The sequence below is a fragment of the Homo sapiens genome, chromosome 1 (assembly GCF_000001405.40).
Source record: "Homo sapiens chromosome 1, GRCh38.p14 Primary Assembly".
NCBI classification, from domain to species: domain Eukaryota; kingdom Metazoa; phylum Chordata; class Mammalia; order Primates; family Hominidae; genus Homo; species Homo sapiens.
In genome coordinates, this window is record NC_000001.11 from 150,217,773 (window position 1) to 150,241,738 (window position 23,966).

At 43.5% G+C, this 23,966-nt stretch overlaps 1 protein-coding gene and 1 pseudogene across 8 annotated transcripts, besides 5 other annotated features; one reads left to right on the forward strand and one right to left on the reverse strand.

Annotated features, from left to right (window-relative positions):
- Positions 1-644: 644 nt before the first annotated feature.
- On the reverse strand, positions 645-18,340 carry ANP32E (acidic nuclear phosphoprotein 32 family member E). 8 transcript variants are annotated; one of them, NM_001280559.2, is made up of 7 exons: positions 17,961-18,340; positions 14,005-14,154; positions 12,799-12,921; positions 11,300-11,465; positions 8,836-9,023; positions 5,414-5,468; positions 645-2,986 (listed from the first exon to the last, which is right to left on the reverse strand). In NM_001280559.2, exons 1-7 carry the CDS (start codon positions 18,012-18,014, stop codon positions 2,919-2,921), a joined length of 804 nt encoding a protein of 267 aa, NP_001267488.1. In that variant the 5' UTR covers positions 18,015-18,340; the 3' UTR covers positions 645-2,918. The 8 variants fall into 8 exon arrangements, with proteins under 8 accessions (NP_001267488.1, NP_112182.1, XP_016857907.1 ...); NM_030920.5 differs by having other exon boundaries at positions 645-2,989; XM_017002418.3 differs by having other exon boundaries at positions 5,414-5,522.
- Positions 16,598-16,687: an enhancer, noted in NCBI's record as "active region_1674". NCBI's record gives its function as "activates an Ori minimal core promoter by ATAC-STARR-seq in GM12878 lymphoblastoid cells {active_cell/tissue: GM12878}" and the evidence as "EXISTENCE:reporter gene assay evidence [ECO:0000049][PMID:35858748]".
- Positions 17,118-17,247: an enhancer, noted in NCBI's record as "active region_1675". NCBI's record gives its function as "activates an Ori minimal core promoter by ATAC-STARR-seq in GM12878 lymphoblastoid cells {active_cell/tissue: GM12878}" and the evidence as "EXISTENCE:reporter gene assay evidence [ECO:0000049][PMID:35858748]".
- Positions 17,418-17,497: a silencer, noted in NCBI's record as "silent region_1299". NCBI's record gives its function as "represses an Ori minimal core promoter by ATAC-STARR-seq in GM12878 lymphoblastoid cells {active_cell/tissue: GM12878}" and the evidence as "EXISTENCE:reporter gene assay evidence [ECO:0000049][PMID:35858748]".
- Positions 18,618-18,707: an enhancer, noted in NCBI's record as "active region_1676". NCBI's record gives its function as "activates an Ori minimal core promoter by ATAC-STARR-seq in GM12878 lymphoblastoid cells {active_cell/tissue: GM12878}" and the evidence as "EXISTENCE:reporter gene assay evidence [ECO:0000049][PMID:35858748]".
- Positions 18,724-19,291: an enhancer, noted in NCBI's record as "NANOG-H3K27ac-H3K4me1 hESC enhancer chr1:150208844-150209411 (GRCh37/hg19 assembly coordinates)". NCBI's record gives its function as "activates a minimal SCP1, AML or CMV promoter by ChIP-STARR-seq in primed H9 embryonic stem cells {active_cell/tissue: H9 hESC(primed)}" and the evidence as "EXISTENCE:reporter gene assay evidence [ECO:0000049][PMID:30033119]".
- RNU2-17P (RNA, U2 small nuclear 17, pseudogene) lies at positions 19,195-19,384 on the forward strand (annotated as a pseudogene).

The window sequence follows — 23,966 nt, forward strand, 5'->3', positions numbered from 1 at the left end:
TCTACTAAAAATACAAAATTAGCTGGGCGTGGTGGCACATGCCTGTAATCCCAGCTACTCGGGAGGCTGAGGCAGGAGAATCTCTTGAACCCAGGAAGTGGAGGTTGTGGTGAGCCGAGATCGCGCCATTGCCCTCCAGCCTGGGCAATGAGAGCGAAATTCTGTCTCAAAAAAAAAAAAAGTTAAGAAAGAAGATGATGAGTTAAAACTATTAAATTGTAATGCCAGCTGGGAGCAGTGGCTCATGCCTGTAATCCCAGTACTTTGGGAGGCTGAGGCAGGCAGATCATGAGGTCAGGAGATCGAGACCATCCTGGCCAACATGGTGAAACCCTGTCTCTACTAAAATACAAAAAATTAGCCAGGCATGGTGGTGCATGCCTGTAGTCCCAGCTACTCAGGAGGCTAAGACAGGGGAATCGCTTGAACCCGGGAGGCAGAGGTTGCAGTGAGTCGAGATGGCGCCATTGCACTCCAGCATGGCGATAGAGCAAGATTCCATCTCAAAAAATAATAAATAAATTGTAATGCCTTATATCACATCCAAGTATTTAAATCAGTTAACTTTCAAGCTGTTAGTTTTTAAAAAGACCTTCAAAGCCGCTAATGGTATTGTTGAAAAAGTGAATGCTATACACTGAAACTAATCATTATAACAAATCTTCAATTTATTTGAAGCAATTCAGTTTCAAAAACTTTAAGTTACAGCAGTCACAGAAAAAAACAGGGAACAGTCAAAAACAATAAAAGAATAATCAGGAGTACTGCAAATTTTTTTGTTTGTTTTTAACACTGTCATGGCTTTATTCAAAACACAGTTGCACAAAAGTATTAACTTCAAAGTTTTTAAGGAGATTCTTGAGGAACTTAACACAATATATACATACTGCCATACAAAGAGCATTAAAATAGGACCGAAAACTTCTACAAAATATAAAACCCACCCTTACTTATTTGCATGAAAATACCACCCACAAAGCTAAATAAGTCTTAAAAGTTATCTGGAGGCTCTAAGTGTTGTTTTCAAACCAAAGTACTCTAATTTTGATTGCACAGTAAGATGATTGATAAGAAAGTCAATATATAGATTTCATTTTAAAAATAAGTATTTTGTAATCTGGCATAGTATGTAATGAGAATTGTTAGGAACTAGAACAGGGAATTTCAGTTTTTAAAAGCAGAAGAAAAATGTTATCTTTTTGGGGATTCCAATCCCCTCACTAAACTTATCCCCAAGGGTTTTCTTTCGGTCAGTTGTACAACATTTTTAGTTTCTCCACAAGTAACATCATAATTTTTACTTTAAAACACCAAGTCATACATTTTACATTGTAGAAGCAGTAGCAGCAGTACTATACTCAGTATTTAAATATGTCCCAGTATAGAAGCATAACTTCAATTAATTTGCTGACACTAACTTCTTAAAAACTTACAAATATTCAAAACAAAGGGAAAAAATTTTAGATAGCCAAGATTTAAAAAGCCATTGCCTTGAACATGGAGCCTCCATAGCAAAAGAGGAGATATACTTGTATACTCATTATATTTTATTTAGTAGCCATGTAAGGAAACACACACTCACTTATCCCAAATATTTTTCTACTTTTAATGGACATCCACTTGAAAACAAATCTTAATTTTAATGTCAATTTAGTTTCAAATACTTTTCCAGCTGCCTAGTATATTCCAATTAAATGCTATTATTATATCTGTTTTAAAACTGGGAATTAAAGGTTAGAAATACTTTGCAGAGTGGTATCCAAATCATTTGAGAGGCCAACATTAAAATTTGACTTTAATGTCTTATTAATATATCAACAGGCAATTGTTCCGACTTTTGAGGAACACTAACACTGCTTCCAAAAGCACCCCTGCTTTTCTTTCTTCATCCCACTAATATTGTCTTAGATGTTGTCAACCAAGAAACATTTATGGTAAGGAGAGCTTACTGCATAAAACTGTATTGATAATATATTCTTATGTCAGAAAATACTCAATTTCTTCTACTTCACTTATTTAAAACCCAGACAGGACTGAAAGGTAGTTGAGGTATAAGACTAAAGGTTTTCCTGGGTTTCACAAGTTTCCCAAGTTCCTTTTGAGAGAGCGGGAGGGAGTGAAACAAGAAGGGAAGGTGATCATAAAGGAATTGCTAAGAAGAAAAAGAATGCACACCTAAAAACAAAATAAACAACCATCGGCATGTCATGATTTGCAGCCTGACAAAAGGGCTCACCTGCATGTCTCTGGACTTAGTATAAGCAATTTTTCCTTCAAAAATAAAATCTTATCAGTCACCACTAAATCCATGAACCATATTACTGAATAGAACCTCCACAAAATCCATGAACTATGTTGCTGAATAGAACCTTTACTATTCTGCTTCTATTTTCCAAGTTACTTGTGACAAAAAAGCAACCAAACACTCTTAGTCAAAAAAAAAAAAAAAAAAAGGTAACTGCCTTCAAACTAAAGATTCCTGGATCACCTACTAAAAAAATAACCAACTTACCACTCAAGAGACTATTGTCATTTTATATTATAGCAAACTGTAATTTCAGTTAATTTATAAATAAGGAATGAAATGCACCATACTACACCTGTGTAAAAGTGATCATGTTTTAATTATGGGCTAAAAATGACTAATACAGTAAGCTTGAATTTAAAAAATTAAGTCTAAATAAATTGCTAGGGAATTCCACAATGGGAGTCAATGAAAATTTTTCTCTACATACAATATGATCATTAACAGACTAGTTCTTATTTGGAATGATAAGGCAAAAATAGTAAAACCACACTTTTCCTATAAAAAGTTACACATTATCTTCTGTAGGGATAGCTATCGTACATGAAGAAACAAAGATGTGATCACTCTATTGCACACCCAGAAACATTAGAGAATCTGGTCTTAGAATGATCTAGTCATCTTCTTCCTCTCCATCGTCTTCAGCATCTCGTTTCCTCTTCTCCCCTCGAAGACCTCCTTCTTCTTAAAGAGTGGAAAGAAAAATGCAAAGTGCTTAATTTTAACAAATGAGGATTGGTTACATTTTTGAATCTTAGTGAAAAGTTAATGGCAAGGCCTAGCACGGTGGCTCACACCTGTAATCCCAGCACTTTGGGAGGCTGAGGTGGATGGATCACTTGAGGCCTGGCCAACAAGGTGAAACCCCATCTCTACTAAAAATACAAAAAATTAGCCAGGCATGGTGGCGGGTGCCTGTAATCCCAGCTACTCCAGAGGCTAAGGAAGAATTCCATGAACCTGGAAGGCAGAGGTTCCAGTGAGCCAAGATTGCGCCACTGCACTCCAGCCTGGGCAACCGAGCAAAACTTTGTCTCCAAAAAAAAAAAAAAAAAAACGTTAATGGCAGAAGAAAATTGGCCAGGTAAGGTGGCTCACGCCAGTAATTCCAATACCTTGGGAGGCCGAGCCAGGCGGATCACTTAAGGTCAGGAGTTGGAGACCAGCCTGGCCAATAGGGTAAACCCCCCATCTCTACTAAAAATATAAAAATCAGCTGGGTATGGTGGCAGGTGCCTGTAGTCCCAGCCACCTGGGAGGCTGGGGCAGGAGAATTGTTTGAACCCAGGAGGCAGAGGCTGCAGTGAGCCGAGATTGCACCACTGCACTCCAGTCTGGGCGACAGAGCAAGACTGTCTCAAAAAGAGGGAGGGAGGGCAGGCTAAGAGAGGAAGAGAGGAAGAGAGGAAGGAAGGGAGGGAGGGAGGGAGGGAGGAAAGGAAGGAGAGTGGGAGGAAGGGAGGGAGGGAGGGAGGGAGGGAAGGAAAGGAAGGAGAGTGGGAGGAAGGGAGGGAGGGAGGGAGGGAGGGAAGGAAGGAAGGAAGGAAGGAAATTATACTTCAAGTTTCCTCTCTGAATTTCTTTAAATTTGAGAAGGTTGAAAACAGACTTAACAGGCTTAGAAATCCATAATTACAGTTTGCTATGCACCCTTGTGGCCATATCATGAAGTACAGATTAAGAAACCAAGGGCTTGACATCAATGCAATTGTTAGTAAATTTTAAAAATTATTTTGAGGCTGGGTGCAGTGGCTCACATTTATAATCCTAGCACTTTGCCAAGGCAAGAGGATCAGTTGGGCCCAGGAGTTCAAGACCAGCCCGGGCAACAGTGAGACCCCGTCTATACAAAAAATACAAAAATTAGCAAGGTGTGGTGGTGGGCACCTGTAGTCTCAGCTACTTTGGAAGAGGCTGAGGTGGGAGGATTGCTTAAGCCTGGGAGGTCGAGGCTGCAGTGACCTATGATTGCCACACTGCACTCACTGCTGACAGAGACCCTGTCTCAAAACAATAAAATGAAATAAAATAAAATAAAATAAAATAAAATAAAATAAAATAGGCCGGGTGCGGTGGCTCACGCCTATAATCCCAGCACTTTGGGAGGCTGAGGCAGGCGGATCACGAGGTCAGGAGATCGAGAGCAACCTTGCTAACACGGTGAAACCCCGTCTCTACTAAAAATACAAAAAATTAGCCAGGCGTGGTGGCGGCGCCTATAGTCCCAGCTACTCGGGAGGCTGAGGCAGGAGAATGGCGTGAACCCGGGAGGCAGAGCTTGCAGTGAACTGAGATCGGGCCACTGTACTCCAGCCTGGGCAACAGAGCGAGACTCCATCTCAAAAAAAATAAATAAATAAATAAAATAAAATAAAATAAAATAAAATAAAAATATTGGTTGGCCATGGTGGCTCACATCTACAATCCCAGCACTTTGGGAGGGTGGGGTGGGCAGATCGTTTGAACCCAGAGTTCAACAAAGCCTGGGCAATATGGCGAAACCCCATCTCTAAAAAAAAAACATACAGAAATTAGCTGGGCATGATGGTGTGTGCCTGTGGTCCCAGCTACTTGGGAGGCTGAGATGGGGGGATCACCTGAGCCCAAGGAGATTGAGACTGCAGTGAGCTGTGATTGCATCACTGTACTCGCCTGGGTAACAAAGTAAGACCCTGTTTCAAACAAACAAACAAAAATATATATATATATAAATTTTTAAAGGCCTGGAAAACAAATCTAAAAAGAGCATTAATTATCTGGAGTTCAACTGCTCCTCTCTTATAAGATAAGGCTTCACTCTGTCCAAAATGAGACTCTATAAAAATAATAAATTGAGCTCAAGGTTCCATTCATCTCTTCATTTGTTTTTAAAATAAATGTTATAAGCTGTTTATGAGTTATGAATTAATGAGTGCCCTAAGACAATTACTCTTAAAAAAAAAACTTTTATAACTTTGAAGGCACTCTATGATAAAGCAAAATCAAAGGGATCAGTAAAAATTGGCATTATAGGCTCATTCTTTAAAGTGTATGAAATACAAATAAATAAAGTATAAAAAATGACTATGTCTTTAATTTTATAATTTGTTTATGGCTAATGTAACTCACCCTCTTCTTCCTCTTCTTCCCCTTCTTCAACATAGTCATCATCATCTTCTTCATCCTTGAAATTCAAATATTCAGTTTGAAGATTGAAAAATCCATATGATTTTTCACTCTTTCTTGTAATATATTCCAACAAGAGCAAAGAAACTATGGTTATTCTGTGTTTTGACAACCTCTGCCATTCTTATAAAGGTCCTTTTTAAAACCTAACTAAAGGGCCGGGCGCGGTGGCTCACGCCTGTAATCCCAGTACTTTGGGAGGCCAAGGCGGGCAGATGACCTGAGGTCAGGAGTTCCAGACCAGCATGGCCAACATGGTGAAACCCTATCTCTACTAAAAATACAAAAACTAGCCGGGCATGGTGGCAGGCGCCTGTAATCCCAGCTACTCGGGAGGCTGACGCAGGAGAATCGCAAGAACCTCGGAGGCAGAGGTTGCAGTGAGCTGAGATAGCGCCATTGCACTCCAGCCTGGCAGAAAAGAGCAAGGCTTCATCTCAAAAAAAAAAAAAAAAAAAACCTAAACTAAATCTGTAGTCTTTTTTTTCTCTTTCCTTTTTATTTATTTATTTTTTTTTTTGAGACAGAGTTTCGCTCTTGTTGCCCAGGCTGAAGTGCAATGGCGTGATCTCGGCTCACCGCAAACTCCGCCTCCCGGGTTCAAGCGATTCTCCTGCCTCGGCCTCCCGATTAGCTGGGATTACAGGCATGCGCCACCACGCCCAGCTAATTTTGTATTTATAGTAGAGACAGGGTTTCTCCATGTTGGTCAGGCTGGTCTCAAACTCCCGACCTCAAGTGATCCGCCTGCCTCAGCCTCCCAAAATGGTGAGATTACAGGCGTGAGCCACTGCACCCGGCCAACTGCCTAATTCCTGTATCAGAAATCATTCTTATACAATCAGTTGAAATAAAGCATCTCCATACCAGAATACCAGTAAGCTATAAGGAGCGAAAGGAATAGATGAGATAGCAAAAAGCATAAAAAGGAACACAATGAAAATCAGGAAATACTGCAGACTAAACTGAAGAAGGAGAGACAAGAAAAAAAGGGGAAGACTGAATGTGGCTTTTGTTGCAGAATTTGTTCATTAAAAAAGGAAAAGGTGGGGCCAGGTGCAGCGGCTCACCTGTAATCCCAGCACTTTGGGAGGCTGAGGTGCATGGATCACCTGAGGTCAGGAGTTCAAGACCAGCCTGGCCAACACAGTGAAACCCTGTCTCTACTAAAAATACAAAAAATTAGCCAGGTGTGGTGGTGGGCACCTGTAATCCCAGCTACTCAGGAGAGTGAGGCAGGAGAATCGCTTGCACTCAAGAGGCAGAGGTAGCAGTGAACCGAGATCGCACCACCCACTCCAGCCTGGGCGACAAGAACGAAACTCCGTCTCAAAAAAGAAAAAAAAAGAACACTTAAAGTTCTGTTCTTCATTATATATAGCTCCTAACTCGCCAAGACCCCAAATGAATATAAATCCTATTTTTTCCATACTAGTTTCATCAGCAAATATGTGTCATTGATCGTTTATATTATGTATCTAACCAATGCAAAACTCATTGAAACAAATATTAGCAACTTCCAGTCTAAATAAGAGATGTTATTTTTAATAATAAAAAATACTTTAAATTATGAGTTTTTAAAATAAACTTCAATTTAACATTAGGAGAAAATAACTAACCTAAACTCCCAGGGGCTGTAGATAACTTGTTCTAGTCAACTGACATTTCCCATGAGCCTACCATGTACCAGTCAGTGTACTAGATGCTGAGATACAAAGGTGAGTGGCACTCCCCTTAAGGAGCTCACCACTTAGCAGGAAGTGGCCAAATTATTTTACAAGTGTCTGTAGGCAATAGAATTCTGATCACGATTCAGAGGTAACAGATGGAGGAGTGACTGCCTAAGAAAAAATATAGAGAGCTTCAATGATGAGGCAACTGAAGAGTTGGGTTTGTAAAGATAAGAATTCACAAAGCATGATTTGGGTGGTGGTTGCACAAGTACATGCATATGTAAAATTCCATGGAGTTGTAAATAAAATCAGTGCACTTCACAAGCTTCACTCAGCAAAAAACAAAAAGTTCATCAGAGGCTCATTTCAGATAGAGTGAACAACATATTCATACACAGCCATAAAGGTAAAATAGTTTGGTGTGATCATTTAATTTGGAATCAAGGGAGATGAAGCTGGAGGAGAAAGCAGGGGCCGGGCACAGTGGCTCACACCTGTAATCCCAGCACTGTGGGATGCCAAGGTGGGCGGATAATTTGAGGTCAGGAGTTCAAGACCAGCCTGGCCAACATGGTGAAACCCTGTCTCTACAAAAAAATACAAAAATTAACCAGGCGTGGTGGAGTGTGCCTGTAGTCCCAGCTACTTGGGAGGCTGAGGTGAGAGGATTGCTTGAGCCTGGGAGGCAGAGGTTGCAGTGAGTCAAGATCGCACCACTGCACTCCAGCCTGGGCAACAGAGTGAGACTGTAACAAAAAAAAAAAAAAAAAAAAAAAGCAGAAGGAAGCAAAGGCCAGAAATGAAAGGCCTTGTATGTCTTGGGGGCAAGAGGGAAACATTAAAGGGTTTCAAGAAGGCTGATGTATAATCACATTTGCATTAGACTAAACAGGCAGCACTGTGGAGAATACTCCTAAGTGGTGATGCTGTATTCAGACAGACTATTTAGAAAGCTACTACAAAAGTATAAGCAAGAGATAATTAGGAGAAAGAAACTTAAGTTTTCTTGAGTGCCTATAATGTGCCAGGGACTATATTCTTTACATAGATTACCTTGTTAAATCCTTAATCCTATGAGGTTGATATAACCTGTTTTTTTTTTTTTTTTGAGACAGAGTCTTGCTCCGTTGCCCAGGCTGGAGTGCAGAGGCACGATCTCAGCTCACTGCAATCTCCGCCTCCTGAGTTCAAGTGATTCTCAGCCTCAGTCTCACGATTAGCTGGGACTACAGGTGTGTGCCATCATGCCCAGCTAATTTTTGTATTTTTAGTAGATACGGGGTTTCCCCACTCATGTTGGTCAGGCTGGTCTCGAACTCCTGACCTCATGATCCACTTGCCTCAGCCTCCAAAAGTACTGGGATTACAGGTGTGAGCCACCATGCCCGGCCTAATCTGTTTTATAAATGCAGAAATTGAGGTTCACAGACATTTGTAAAATGTTTCCACCATACCATGCCATTGAGGCTGTAACAGATTTGAAAGTTATCTGGGAGGTAAAATCAATAGGTGTTTATGATTATCTGGATATAGTTTGGGGTGGAGGACAATGAAAAAAAAGACAGGTGGATAGACATATGCACACCCACAACTTAGAAACAACTCTCAGATTGCTACAAAACACACTTTATATAGTACTTACTCCTATGCCTAGAAATTAATTTTCAGTGCAGGTAAGAAGTGTGTATTCACCTGAATTTCTTCTTTCATTAAGTATGAGAGGCCCACTTCCTCTTCTCCCTCTCCCAACTCTGAACCTGCTTCATCTTCATCTTCATCCTCATCCTCATCCTCCTCTTCCTCTTCCTCCTCCTCTTCCTCATATCCTTCCGGTGGACCAGCTTCATTTTCCTCTTCCTCTTCATCATCTTCATCGCCATCTTTAAAAAATCATTTAAAGATGAGTAAATGACTGGGTAAATGTTTCTTCCTAGGATGTTGATGCTTTTTACCCTTGCCCAATCACTTCAAACTTGTAAGCCAATAGGTGGAAAGTAACTCACAGCGATACTTTTTTTTTTTTAAGATTTCTGTTTCACAACATTCCTAGTTATTCCTACAAACCAAATGCGAGAAGTATGGCTTCTAAATACTGGTATCCAATATATATCTAGATTCTCATGAAAATATTGCATGCACTAAAGTTTGTTTTACTTTGTGAACACTTCAAAACTTTGCTTGTGAGATGTTGGAGAGGCTGCAGAGAAAAGGGAATGCTTGTACACTGTTGGTGGGAATGTAAATTAGTTCAGCCACTATGAAAAGCAGTTTGGAAATTTCTCAAAGAACTAAAATACAACTACCATTCGACCCAGCAATCCCATTACTGGGTATATACCCAAAGGAAAGTAAATCATTCTACCAAAAAGACACATGCACTTGTATGTTCACCACAGCACTATTCACAATATCAAAGACATGGAACCAACCTAGGTGCCCATCAATGGTGGACTGGATAAAGAAAATGTAGAACATACACATGATGGAATACTACACAGCCATAAAGAAAGAATGAAATCATGTCCTTTGCAGCAACATAGATGCAGCTGGGGACCATCATCCTAAGTGGATTAATGCAGAAACAAAAAACCAAATACTGCATGCTCACTCTTACAAGCAGGAGTTAAACACTGGGGACACAGGGACATAAAGATGGGAACAGACACTGGAAACTTCAAAAGAGGGGAAGGAGGGTGGCTGAAGAACTACCTATTAGGCACTATGTTCACTATTTGGGTGAGAGGATCAGTAGAAGACCAAACCTCAGCATCATGCAATACACCCATGGAATAAACTTGCACACGTACCCCCTTAATCTAAAATAAAAAATAAACCTGCTTATCTATCATTTCATCATTTTATAACAGTATTTATCCATCAAATTTCTTTTTACGATGAAGAAGTTTTCACTCAATAATAATGAGCAGTATCCTATTACTAACAGCTATTCTGTCATCTGATCTGTTAGTCATCCACTTACCTAAAACTGTATGCTCACAATATACTTCTAGATTATTTTTCATCCCTCAAAAAGAAATCCCATACCCATAGGCAGTCACTCTCCCATTTTCGTCTCCCCCAGCATCAAGCAACCAATAATCTACTTTCTGTCTCAATGGATTTGCCTATCCTGAAGTTTCTGCCTATTCTGAACCATATATATATTATATATATATATATGGTTTTTTGTTTGCTTTTTTGTTTTGTTTTTGAGACAGAGTCTAACTCTGTCGCCCAGGCTACAGTGCAGTGACACGATCTCAGCTCACTGCAACCTTCGCCTCCCAGGTTCAAGCAATTCTGCCTCGGCTTCCCATGAACTTTCCATATAAATGAAGTCAAACAACACATGGTCTTTTGTGTCTCTCTTCTTTCACGTAGAAGAACATTTTCAAGGTTCATTCATGTGGCATGTATCACTACTTCATTCATATTAATGGTGATATAATATTGCACTGTATAGATAAACCACATTTCTAAAATCTGTTCATCGGGCCGGGGCGTGGTGGCTCACGCTGGTAATCCCAGCACTTTAGGAGGCTGAGGCAGGTGGATCACGAGGTCAGCAGTTCGAGACCAGCCTGACCAACATGGTGAAACCTCGTCTCTACTAAAAATACAAAAAAATTAGCTGGGAGTGGTGGCGGGCACCTGTAATCCCAGCAACTTGGGAGGCTGAGGCAGGAGAACTGCTTGAAACCAGAAGGCAGAGGTTGCAGTGAGCCGAGATTGTGCCACTGCACTCTAGCCTGGGCAATAAGAGCAAAACTCCCTCTCAACATAAAAAAAAAAAAAAAATTCCGTTCATCAGTTGATAAACACTTGGGTTGTTTCTACTTTCTGGCTATTATAAGTGGTTGCTTTTTTAAAAAAATACTATTTAAGAGGTTGCCACTTTTACTGGGTGTACAACTTTCTACAGATATAAAATTTCACAGAGCTTCATGTTATAATAGTCATTAAATTCCCTGAAACTATGGGAAATCTGAAAGAAGAAATACTGGCTAGAGCTATGGGTTTTTAATTTTTTCTTGTCTTACTAATATCTTGTTGTGGATTTTTTTTTTCACACCTAAATTTCCAGGCCCAATCTAATTTGCACAGCTACAGCAGAGGCTATAATTATGACACACTTATGAGTATTAAGAACGATTACCCTCATCATCCTCCTCTTCAGAGTCCGGCGCTTCATTATCCTCCTGATCAAATCCATCTAAGTATGTGATTTGCTGCAGTAGTTCAAAAATACTTTCTCTATAATCTTCCAGGTTTGTGATCTCACAGTTAAACAGGTCAAGACTTTTCAAATTTTTAAGATTTTGCTGGAAAAGTAAAGTTAAAACTTACATTCAAGATTTAAAATACCATGTTATTTCTTTTTTCTTTTTTTTTTTTTTTTTTTGAGACGGAGTCTAGCTCTGTTGCCAGCTGGAATTCAGCGCCACGATCTCTGCTCACTGCAACCTCCGCCTCCCGGGTTCAAGCGATTCTCTTGCCTCAGCCTCCCGAGTAGCTGGGACTACAGGTGCGCACCACCATGCCCCGCTAATTTTTGTGTTTTTGTTTTGTTCTGTTTTGTTGAGACGGACTTTTTGCTCTTGTTGCCCAGGCTGGAGTGCAATGGCATGATCTCAGCTCACCACACCTCCGCCTCCCGGGTTCAAGCGATTCTCCTGCCTCAGCCTCCCGAGTCGCTGGGATTACAGGCATGCGCCTCCACACGCAGCTAATTTTGTATTTTTATTAGAGACAGGGTTTCTCCACATTGGTCAGGCTGGTCTCGAACTCCTGACCTCAGGTGATCTGCCTGCCTCGGCCTCCCAAGGTGCTAGGATTACAGGCGTGAGCCACCGCGCCCGGCCTAATTTTTGTATTTTTAGTAGAGACGGGCTTTTACCATGTTGGCCAGGATGGCCTCAATCTCCTGACCTCATGATCGGCTCACCTCGGCCTCCCAAAGTGCTGGGATTACAGGCGCAAGCCACCGTGCCCGACCACATCATTTCTTTTTAATTTATGATCCAGAAAATATATATTTGAAATTGAGAATGATTTTTGTATTTTTCGAGTTTTATAATGAAGGGTTATTATATCAAGCACAACCAGCTCACCTGGCTAATTTTTATTTTTTATTTTTTATTTTTGTAGAGACAGGGTCTCACTATGTTGCCCAGGTTGGTCTCAAACTCCTGGACTCAAGCGATCCTCCCACCTCTGCCTCTCCAAGTGCTGGGATTACAGACATAAACCACTGTGCCCAGCCTCCAATCTTTTTTCAAAATCAGAGCAATAATTTTCAGCATGTCAGTTTTTCTTTTCCTTCCCTCAAACCAGGAAAGAAGGGGACAAATAATAAAAAACTCAAAAAATAATCAAGAAGCAAAGAAAAAGAATGAAAGAAGGTTAAAAAAAAATACTGGAAATGTTAAAACCAGATAGTCAACTCCTGAAGTTGATGATAAAATAAATTTCTCATTGATTTAAAAATTCATCTGAATATTTTAGTCTAAAAGAAACAAAAGCAGTAACTGCCTAGATCACAACATACAAAAAATTCTTAAGTTTTAAGAGTTAAATAGAAATTAATAGACACAAACAAATCTCAGAAAATTTAACCAAAAAAAGCAAGTCCAGAGACAAAACTGTTCCACTTACCAGAGCTTCTACTGTACTGAGATCTTTTATTTTGTTTCCACTCAGATTGAGGTAGGTAAGATTTGGACATTTCTCTGCCAGGACTTCCAAGCCTCCAGAAATTATATTATCACTAAGCTCCAACTATACATTCAACAAAGGAAAAAACAAAGAATGGTAAAGGTATCATATCAAACTTTTTTTTTTTTTGAAATGTAGTCTCACTCTGTCGCCCAGGCTGGAGTGCAGTGGTGCGATCTCCACTCACTGCAACCTCCGCCTCCTGGGTTCAAGCAAATTCTCCTGCCTCAGCCTCCCAAGTAGCTGGGATTACAGGTGCCCACCACCACACCCAGCTAACTTTTGTATTTTTGGTACAGATGGGGTTTCACCATGTTAGCCAGGCTGGTCTCGAACTCCTGACCTCAGGTGATCCACCCGCCTCGGCCTCCCAAAGTGCTGGGATTACAGGCATGAACCACTGAGCCTGGCATATCAAAGATTTTTAAAGTATATCAATTTGAAGAAAAAAAACTGTCATTCTCTCTGGCTTCAAGAAACTATCACGACAGATCATTAATTTCCAAATTCCTTTCTACATCTGCCAAATAATGTATTAGAACACCTACATAATGGGCTCTTAACCCAGCTTGGATTCTAGTTGTACTACATTTGGATTTCATGATGTAGAGAAAAATATTTGGTATATATTAAATCCAAATTCATATTATAAGGCAATTCCACTATTAGATTTACATTTCTAGACCGGGCACAGAGGCTCACTCCTTTAATCCCAGCACTGTGGGAGGCCGAGGCAGGAGGATGACCGGAGCCCAGGAATTTGAAACCAGTCTGGACAACATGGTGAAACCCTATCTCTGCAAAAAATACAAAAATTAGCCAGGTGTGGTGGCGCATGCCTGTAGTCTCAGCTACTCGGGAGGCTGAGGTGGGAGGATGCTTGAGCTCGGGAGGCAGAGGTTGCAATGAGCCAAGATCTTGCCACGGCACTCCAGCCTGGCAAGACCCTGTCTCAAAAATAAATAAATAAATAAATTTATAAAAGCAGTATTAGAGCTTATTCTCAAAATCCTATATAACTTTTTCTTATCTCTAGAAACTTAAAAACTTCTAATTAACAAGCAGAATGGTCATTCCATTTGGCCAAACACTAGACATATAGCCGTGGCATTGAAATCATGATGCTTCACGTAAATGCCAACTTACTTTTCGAAGTTTATTTAAGCTGGGAAGCCGGGCCAGCGAACTTAGTTCCACATTAGCCATACTCAGAAATTCTAGTTCTTTGAAAGTATCATTCAGGCCTTCAATTTCCCCATTGACACACAGGCAATTATCAAGGACTAACTCTGTCACCTGTAAGAGGGAAAACATTAATTAATGATTCTTTAGTTTGTAATCTGTTTAGGTAGAGACCTGGGTCTTGACACTCTGGAAATGTATTAAAACCACCAATCTCCAGTTTGATTGCCCGTCAGTTAAAACAAAATACGGCCGGGCGCGGTGGCTCACGCCTGTAATCCCAGCACTTTCGGAGGCCGAGGCGGGCGGATCACGAGGTCAGGAGATCGAGACCATCCCGGCTAAAACGGTGAAACCCCGTCTCTACTAAAAATACAAAAAATTAGCCGGGCGTAGTGGCGGGCGCCTGTAGTCCCAGCTACTTGGGAGGCTGAGGCAGGAGAATGGCGTGAACCCGGGAGGCGGAGCTTGCAGTGAGCCGAGATCCCGCCACTGCACTCCAGCCTGGGCGACAGAGGGAGACTCCGTCTCAAAAAAAAAAAAAAATAACAACACAACAGAAACCCCACCAATCCCCTTACACGGATCCTTTTCATTTCCCCCCAAAACTGATATACAATCTAAAGTCATCACTATAAGTAATCTTTTAAATTTCTTTTTTCTTTTTTTTTTTTTGTAGATGGAGTCTTGCTCTGTTACCCAGGCTGGAGTGCAATGGCACGATCTCGGCTCACTGTAACCTCTGCCTCCTGGGTCCAAGCAATTCTCCTGTCTCAGCCTCTGGAGTAGCTGGGATTACAGGCGTATGCCACCACTCCCGGCTAATTTTTTTGTATTTTTAGTAGAGACAGGGTTTTGCCATGTTGGCCAGGCTAGTCTTGAACTCCTGACCTCAGGTGATTCGCCCCCCTCAGCCTCCCAAAGTGCTGGGATTACAGGGATGAGCCACCTTGCCTGGCCATTTTTTAAATTTAAACTTGGACTAAAGTTCAATGCCTGCTTCAAATCACTGATGCATAAGAAACAAACTTTGAAGAAGTTCCCATGTGAAACCTGTTTCTGACCCTGATAAGGAGGACCCTCAACATCAGATAATATATTTATGCAAGGAGCGAGTACCTGAGCTACCAGGAAAAGATTCAAGTGAGCTGCCCTAAAACCTACAAAGAGTGCCAGGCTCGGGGGCTCACGCCTGTAATCCCAGCACTTTGGGAAGCTGAGGCAGGTGGATCACTTGAGGTTAGGAGATCAAGACAAGCCTGGCCAACATAGTGAAACCCCGTCCCTACTAAAAATACAAAAATCAGCCGGGCGTGATGGTGGGCACCTGTAATGCCAGCTACTCGGGAAGTTGAGGCAGGAGAATCACTTGAACCCGGGCAGCAGAGGTTGCAGTGAGCCGAGGCCGCACCATTGCACTCCAGCTTGGGCAACAGATAGAGACTCTATCTCAAAAAAAAAAAAAAAAAAAAAAAACCTACAAAGAGAAGAAACTGTTTAATCACTTTTTCAGTTTAAACCTCCTTCTCTTTGGTTGATAAAACCATCATAACTCAAAAAATCCTCCTTACCCTTTATGAAGAAACGTTAGAAAGCTCTTCTGGGAACAGCCCAGAGGGTGTTATTGGTTCTCACATCCAGGCCAAACGGTATCACCCAGAACAATACATTCTTAACAAAATGTTACTTCTCCCTACCACTCTGGTATAATAGCATTTCTGTGCACTTTTCCCCATTCCTCAAGGAGTGGGGCTGAATTCCCTATTAGGTAAGAGTTGTAGTAACAAACTTCCTGGTGTGGGCCTGAATGGACTTAATCTTTAAGGGAAAGGTTGAAGATCCTGGTTCTCTATACCCAATGTGAAAACCTGTTTGAGGTATCCGAGGGCTAAAATTTGGCAACAAGGAATGCCACCTTCTCTATTTGAATATGATTTTGACATAATTATTTCTGTGGCCAGAAAGAGCATCTTGAGCTCCGTTTTGGAGAAGAGGAAACTATGGCCCAGAGATGAAGAATGGCTTGCCTAGAGTCACAGTTGGTTTGCCGAAGGACTGTGAATTGGTTCTGTCTTCAGACTCCCCGTTTAGCTGAGGAGTGGGGGCTACTAGATTTGGTGTCAGAAAACCAGTTCCTCCACTTCTGTAAATCATTTCACTGCCCTGAGACTGTCTGCTAATTTGGATTCTAGAACAACACAATCCACCTTACAAGTACGTAAGGAGGAAAGTAAATAACAAACGGGTAAAGTGCTTTGTAAACTGTCTATACAAATATAAGAGACCGTTATTACAACACAGCGGAAGAAGTTGAAAAAAGGCAACGTCTTGCACACCCCAAAACTGGCAAAGAAATTACTACAATCACTAAGTGAAAGAATCCTGGCGGGGGAGGCGGGGGCGGGATTCAATTTTCCAACCCAAGCCACCAAAAAGTATTCTAAACGTGTGCTTGTGAGAGACAGCTTTTAAAGTTTGATTTTGGTTTTTTTATTTTTTTCCTGAAGCCTCTAAGAATAAGCTCTAGAAACTTCAAGTTATCTCCGGGATGACCCTGATAGCAAGCAACTGTTTCCTCTCCCTGGCCCCTGCCAATTTCAGAAAACAGGCACTTAAAAAAAAAAAAAAAATCTTAGTTGCCACTCCACACGCCGGACGCGAAAGCCCAGACAGACCCTGCTCATCCTCTATGCCGATCTGCACAGACACCACCCCAGTTATATCCTTCTATCGATCGGTCGATTCAGCTACAGACAACTCCCTTACGTTCCAATTCTAGGCTTATTTCAGCAAGACTGATGCTTTCCTCTGCGAGGCTCCCCGCTGGCCACCAGCCCTGCTCTCGCGACCTGCCGCTCCGACTGACGGGAAACCCCACACGGGGCGGGGACTCCCCAAGGAAAAAACGGGTCGCCTCCCAACCCGCGTTGTCCTCGCGCCTTCGCCCTGGGTAGGTGAGGCCGAGAAGGCAACCGCGAAAAGGAGGCGGAAACGCCTCCTACCCGACCCCCGAAAAGTTGACCGCGACCCCGCCTCACATGGCCCCTCCCAACCCCGTCTCTTTAAGGCGACAGCAGTGAGAGCGCATCATTTAGTTTCGGCGAACCCATCTTTAAAGCACGAAACTACTACGTCCCTTATGTTGAGTTTTGTGAAACCGTCTCCAGGGATCAAATTCAGAGTTGCGGCCACACGACGTGCCACATATCGTTACACGGCGGGGGAAGAAGCGGATTACGCCTCCCGTCCCCTCTCCACCTCCGGTCACTGCGACGAGTCCCCAAACTCGCCCGCGGTCGGAGAACCCGCCGCTGACCCAGATTCCGCCGGGCGAAGGGCAGAGGGCGGCGCGCGCGGCTTCCCGGAGGAGTGGGCGCCGCCGGAGCAGACAGTGCGCGGACCCTGCAAGCGACCCCAGCCCGCGCCCGTCGCGACGTCGGACGCCCAGGGCCTCGAGGCCGGGGAAGCCCACCCCCTAAAAAGATGAGTTGGCCGCACTGCAGAAAAGTTGGACTAACTTCTCAGGCGCCTATGGCTGCGGCAGGGGCTGAGTGGGACTGGGGGGTCGCGCCCACGCCGCCGGCCCCCAGGAGGAGGAGTGCCGGGAGCGAAGCGGCGGAGCGCCCCCACCAGCCCGCTTCCCGCCCCCACGAGGTCAGGACGCCCGACTCGATGAAAGCCGAAAGGAGCTAAGCCCCCATGCACACACAAAAACGCCCCTAGAAACTTCAACCCTTCGCCATTTTAAGTAGAAGATTTTAATGATTTAAAACTTAAAATTAAACATTTCCCCAACCCTAACCCGGGGGGATGGGGGCTAACTTATTACTCCATCCCCGCACACCCACCCAGGACCACCAGAAATCCGATCCTCAGAATACTGGACTGATGGGGAAGCGGTGGGGGCTGAGTCATCTCACCTCCTCCGGGGATCTGTTCCTTAACTCCAGGTTAATCTTCTTCTTCATCTCCATGTCCTCCTCTTGCTCTTCAGCTACTACTCTCCTTTTCCCTTTCCTGCCTTCCCCAATACCCCCAACCCAAAATTTTTAAGAGATTTAGAAATGAATGAAAAGGAACGCAAATATAAACGCCCACTACCACCACCAGATAGGTGTGGGGGAGAAAGAAGAGAATAGCAAATGGAGTCCAAGAGTTGGGACTCTAACTCAGCTGCCCCCACCTCCTTGTCCACACACTAGCGCGCGCACACACACGCACGCACGCGCGCACACACATACACACACACATACACACACACACCCGCAGTTCCTTCCCCTTCAATGGCTGCTCAGAGACTGAGCCTCCATGACACGGCACCGCCAACCCCCTGGCCTACACTCCACCCACCTCCCAAACGTGTTGGTTGATTCTTCAGCGTCACATTACTTCATTGGGCTAGGTAAAGGTCTATCAGTCTTCAGGGAGGCCCTGGACCAGAAATTCCGTACCTATTGGCTACGATCAAGCGCGCAGTTAATTTTGATAGGTCCAGGAGGGTGTACGTCCCGGAGAAATGATTTTGAATCCCAGTACCCCCCCTACTTTTCTTTATGTAGTTGGCGCGCTTTCCCTAGGCACTCGGACAGTTTCGTTGTCTGTTGGATTTGGTTTTTAGTTTTTGGTTTTTTATTCTGTTGTTAGTGTTAAAGAGGGAGAAAGCATCCTTCCGTGCCCAACTTGCGATACTGAGAATTCACCACACGGCACGCACTGGCTCTTGGCCGTTTTAAAAGCATAGCCTCTGCTTTGCAACCAAGGTGTACAGCAACGTGCGCATCACATTAAAAAGATGCCTTCGTGGCATTGTCCTGCTGGGGTCAGGCTCTTCACAGAGACTGACCTTCCGTGATGCAGAGCTAGAGCCGAGATTTTAAAGATGGTAGGTTAACACCATAAAAGACAACAATTTTGAAAGCAGTTGGGTGAAAGCAGTATGTAAGTTAGTAATATTTAAATAAAACTATCCTGGAGGAATTGTTACTGAGTTAATTGTTGCTGTAATAAACACTAAGACCTTGGAGGAAAAACGACGCTGTCCTAATGAAAATCAGACATTAATTAGCATAGAAATGGCACCGCGATGCCGCTCTAATTTCCCTTTGGTTGGTTTCCATGGAAATCTGTAGGTAAAGTGTGCTTTTAAAAGTGTTTATCGCTTCTCTGCCTTTTGGCTAAGATCAAGTGTAGGATCTGTTCTTAACAGTTTAATATCTGATATATTTTCTATCCGAGTCCAATATATTAAATGGATTTGGGGAGCAGGAAGACGGAATAGGAGCTTGCTTGTTCACTTCACGCATCGATCTGGTATTGCAGTACCTCCAGGAACAGTGCACCCCCTCAGGGGATTAAAATTTAATGTTCAAAACAGAAGAAGGAAAAAAAAACAGTCTGTCTATGTGGGATGGGATACAAAAGAGTGGGATAAGAATTATCTTTTGGCCGGGCGTGGTGGCTCCCACCTGTAATCCCAGCACTTTGGAAGGCCAAGGCGGTTGGATCACCTGAGGTCAGGAGTTGGAGACCAGCCTGACTAACATGGTGAAACCTCGTCTCTACAAAAAATACAAAATATTAGCCGGGTGTGGTGGCGTGCGCCTGTAATCCCAGCTACTCCAGAGGCTGAAACAGGAGAATTGCTTGAACCCGGGAGGCGGAGGTTGCGGTGAACCGAAATCGTGCTATTGCACTCCAGCCTAGACAGCAAAAGCGAAACCCTGTCTCAAAAATAAAAAGAATTATCTTTTAAAATTTTGTCTCGACGGTCTAACTTTTTTCTTAGCTCTTGCTTAAATTATATCATTCTTATTCCCTTACACCATTCTCAGGATAAATAACCAAATAAATTCCAAATGATTTGGGGAAGGAAGTGGAAAGTGGGGGAATTAGTCCCATGCCTCCCAGAACTGGTTGCTATTTTTCCTGTTTCTCAGGTTAGAGATCTTTGGCTTTCCAACACAGACTCCTCACAACTCCACCTTCCCTACTCCACCCCACTCAGAGACACACTGCTCCTCAAAGAGGATTACATTTAAAATGTAAATGCTGACCCGGCGCGGTGGCTAACGCCTGTAATCCCAGCACTTTGGGAGGCCAAGGCGGGTGGTCACCTGAGGTCAGGAGTTCGAGACCATCCTGGCCAACATCGTGACACCCCATCTCTACTAAACATACAAAAATTAGTGGGACGCGGTGGCGCGCGCCCGTAACCCCGGCTAGAATCGCTTAAACCCAGGAGCGGGAGATTGCAATGAGCCTGAGCGACAGAGTGAGCCGAGATGGCGCCACCGCACTCCAACCTGGGCGACAAAGTGAGACTCTGTCTCAAAATAAATAAATAAATAAATAAAATCCCATAGGGCATGTACATAAGATTCTCAGGCAAAGGAGAGCAAAACATGGTTGAAGGGGAAAAGAGAAGAGGGAGGGACTGTCTACCAAAGTCCTCAATGAAACTGAGGAGTAGGTAGAGAAGGAAAAAAATGTATGGAAGCCAAAGAAGAGATGGAAGAGATTATTAATGGTAGGGTTTCAAATAAAAGATGATGATTGGGATTAAATTGTATCCTGGAAATAATCAATGTGAAGAAAGGCCATGAACTCATTTTACCATTGAATAGTGGCTGCAGAAAGTACGCCATAGGGCCGGGCACGGTGGCTCACGCCTGTAATCCCAGCACTCTGGGAGGCTGAGGCGGGTGTATCATGAGGTCAGGAGATCGAGACCATCCTGGCTAACACGATGAAACCCCGTCTCTACTAAAAATACAAAAAAATTAGCCGGGCGTGGTAGCGGGCGCCTGTAGTCCCAGCTACTCAGGAGGCTGAGGCAGGAGAATGGCGTGAACCCGGGAAGCGGAGCTTGCAGTGAGCCGAGATCGCGCCACTGCACTCCAGCCTGGGAGACGAGCGAGACTCCGTCTCAAAGAAAAAAAAAAAGAGTGAAATTTAGTCAGGAGAAAAGCCAAAGCCAAACACATGTACCAGATCAGATCACTCTTTATTTAAGCTGAAGTAATTAGGTAGGGTTTAAATGGCAAAATGAAAAGTGAGGTTAAGTAACCAAGTTAAGGTGGGGCACGGTGGCTCTCGCCTGTAATCCCAGCACTTTGGGAGGCTGAGGTGGGCAAACCACTTGAGGCCAGGAGTTTGAGACCAGCTTGACCAACATGGTGAAACCCCATCTCTACTAAAAATACAAAAATTAGCCGGGCTTGGTGTCATATGCCTATAATCCCAGCTATCTGGGAGGCTGAGGCACAAAAATCACTTGAACCCAAGAGGTGGAGGTTGCAGTGAGCCAAGATCATGATATTGCACTCCAGCCTGGGCAACAAAGCAAGATTCTGTCTCAAAAAAAAACAAACAAAAAACAAAACAAAAAAAACAAGTTAAGTGGAGCAGGCGAGAGAGTGATTCAGAAACTCCTTTAATCCACCAGTAAGAAAGCTCCCTCAAGATATTTATTATTATTATCATTTTTTTTTTTTTTTGAGACAGAATCTCCTTCTGTCGCCCAGGCTGGAGTGCAGTGGCGCCATCTCAGCTCACTGCAAGCTCCACCTCCCAGGTTCACACCATTCCCCTGCCTCAGCCTCCTGAGTAGCTGGGACTACAGGCGCCCGCCACCAAGCCCGGCTAATTTTTTGTATTTTTAGTAGAGACGGGGGGTTTCACCGTGTTAGCCAGGATGATCTCGATCTCCTGATCTCGTGATCCGCCCGCCTCGGCCTCCCAAAGTGCTGGGATTACAGGCTTGAGCCACCACGCCTGGCCCCTCAGGATATTATTAAATTCAACATGCCTTTAACATTCAAAATCCAAGCTCATCTACTGCTGCTGAATATCTTGTTTGCACTTCTAGATCTACTCTTCACGCTTCTCCACCCTGCTCTGTAACCCAGAACCTATATGGACTGCGTGAAGTCCTGTGGCTTCCTGGACTTGGTCCTGATAGGAAATCAAGTCAGGAGGAAAGTGAGGTTGGACATTTATTCCCCAGCTTCCTCTCTGCCAGGTCCATACAAAATGGCTGAGTCCCTCTAAGGAAAGCCATAGATGGTGTCAGAACTGTGGTGGACACTGTGATGTACCACCCAGCTTTTCCTTCAGGAATGAGGAACTTGTTCCTGTAGCTGCTGGGAGTACTACTGGAAGATGACCCTAAACTGTCAGCCCTTTTAGGGGATTGCCTGGCTCAAGATTACCTCACTCAAGGTTATACCTCCTTTTGGGGAAGCCTGAATCCAACGAGTGATTAACACAGAGGTGTAAAGGACCAGCCTGCCCTTTTGCCCAGTTTTAGACAAACTCAGAAGGGTCATCCCAGCTCCAGAGCACCCTGTTGGGGTCAGCTGAGGCCTTCGTTAGGATGGCATTGCCATTCAGTTTCTCTCTCTACTTCATCCTGCTTCTTTCTTCTTCCTCCCACAGGTAATGGTCCCAATATCACTCAACAACAAATGTCCCAACATCTCAGTCTGCTTCCTGGGGACATGTGACAGTGGCTCTCTCCAAATACCTACCCTCTGAGAACGCCCAAACTAACCTATAAAAGCAATCACCTAGAGAAGCCTTGAGACCATGTGAAGAGAGTGACAGGTGCCCAGCCAGCCCCCAGCTTCTTCAACCCCCATTTCCAGTTGCAGCCACCATCTGACCTCATGAGAGATCCTGAGTCAGAACCAGCCAGCTCAGCCTTTCCCAAACTCCTGTGTCACAGAAATCACCAGAAATAATAAAATAATCATTATTCTTTTAAATATCTAAATTTGGGGTTGTTAGGTAGCAATAGTAATTGGAACAACTTCCTAGCACACATTTTTCTGATCAAATCTCACTAGTGCACCGGGCACAGTGGCTCACGCCTGTAATCCTAGTACTTTGGGAGGCTGAGGTGGGCAGATTACTTGAGGTCAGGAGTTCGAAACCAGCCTGGCCAACATGGTGAAACCTTGTCTCTACTAAAAATACAAAAACTTAGACGGGCGTTGTGGTGGACACCTGTAATCCCAGCTACCTGGGAGGCTGAAACAGGAGAATTGCTTGAACCCAGGAGGCAGAGGTTGTGGTGAGCCGAGATCGTGCCATTGCACTCCAGCCTGGGTGACAGAGTGAGACTCCATCTCAAAAAAAAACAAAAACAAACAAACAAACAAAATCTCACTAGTGCCCTTTTTGTTCTGTGATGACAGGTGATAGTCATTCTGCTCCTTTTAGTTTTGCTTATGCTATTTTCTACCTTAAACAAAACAAATTCCCTCCTCTGAATTCTCAGCACTTATTAAATGTTCTACTCATTTAGCATTTACCCTATGATGCCTTGCAACATCTCATATATGTTTGTGTGTGTGCGTGTTTTTGTTTTTTTTTTTTGAGACAGAGCTCACTCCATTGCCCAGGCTAGAAGTAAGTGGCGAGATCTTGGCTCACTGCAACCTCCGCCTCCCGGGCTCAAGCAACTCTCCTGCCTCAGCCTCCTGAGTAGCTGGGACTACAGCTGTGCACTACCACACCTGGCTAATTTTTGTATTTTTAGTAGAGATGGGGTTTCACCATGTTAGCCAGGCTGGTCTTGAACTCCTGACCTCAGGTGATCCACCCACTTCGGCCTCCCAAAGTGCTGGGATTACAGGGGTGAGGCACTATGCCCGGTCTCATATATGTTATTTAACTCTGATTGCTCCCAACTAGATTGGAATTTCCTACAGGGAAATTAAGTCAGTTAACTTGGCTTTCTCTGGCATCACTCATAGGAGTGGGCACAGTGCTGAGCACAGAGTGGGTATTTAAGACAGTTTTAATAATTGATTATACCTCAAATAAGTCTCAGCTAGTAGTTTAAATTCATACTTCTTTTTTTTTTGACAGAGTCTCGCTCTGTAGCCAGGCTGGAGTGCAGTGGCACGATCTCAGCCCACTGC

Excerpts from the sequence above, each read along its gene's own strand:
- ANP32E (XM_005245513.5), bottom strand. The coding sequence starts at position 18,014 with ATGGAGATGAAGAAGAAGATTAACCTGGAGTTAAGGAACAGATCCCCG. Across the intron at positions 12,922-14,004 it reads GCTTAAATAAACTTCGAAAA|TTGGAGCTTAGTGATAATAT; the intron begins GTAAGTTGGCAT and ends TTGAATGTATAG. Across the intron at positions 9,024-11,299 it reads TGAAGAGGAGGATGATGAGG|ATGGCGATGAAGATGATGAA; the intron begins GTAATCGTTCTT and ends GATTTTTTAAAG.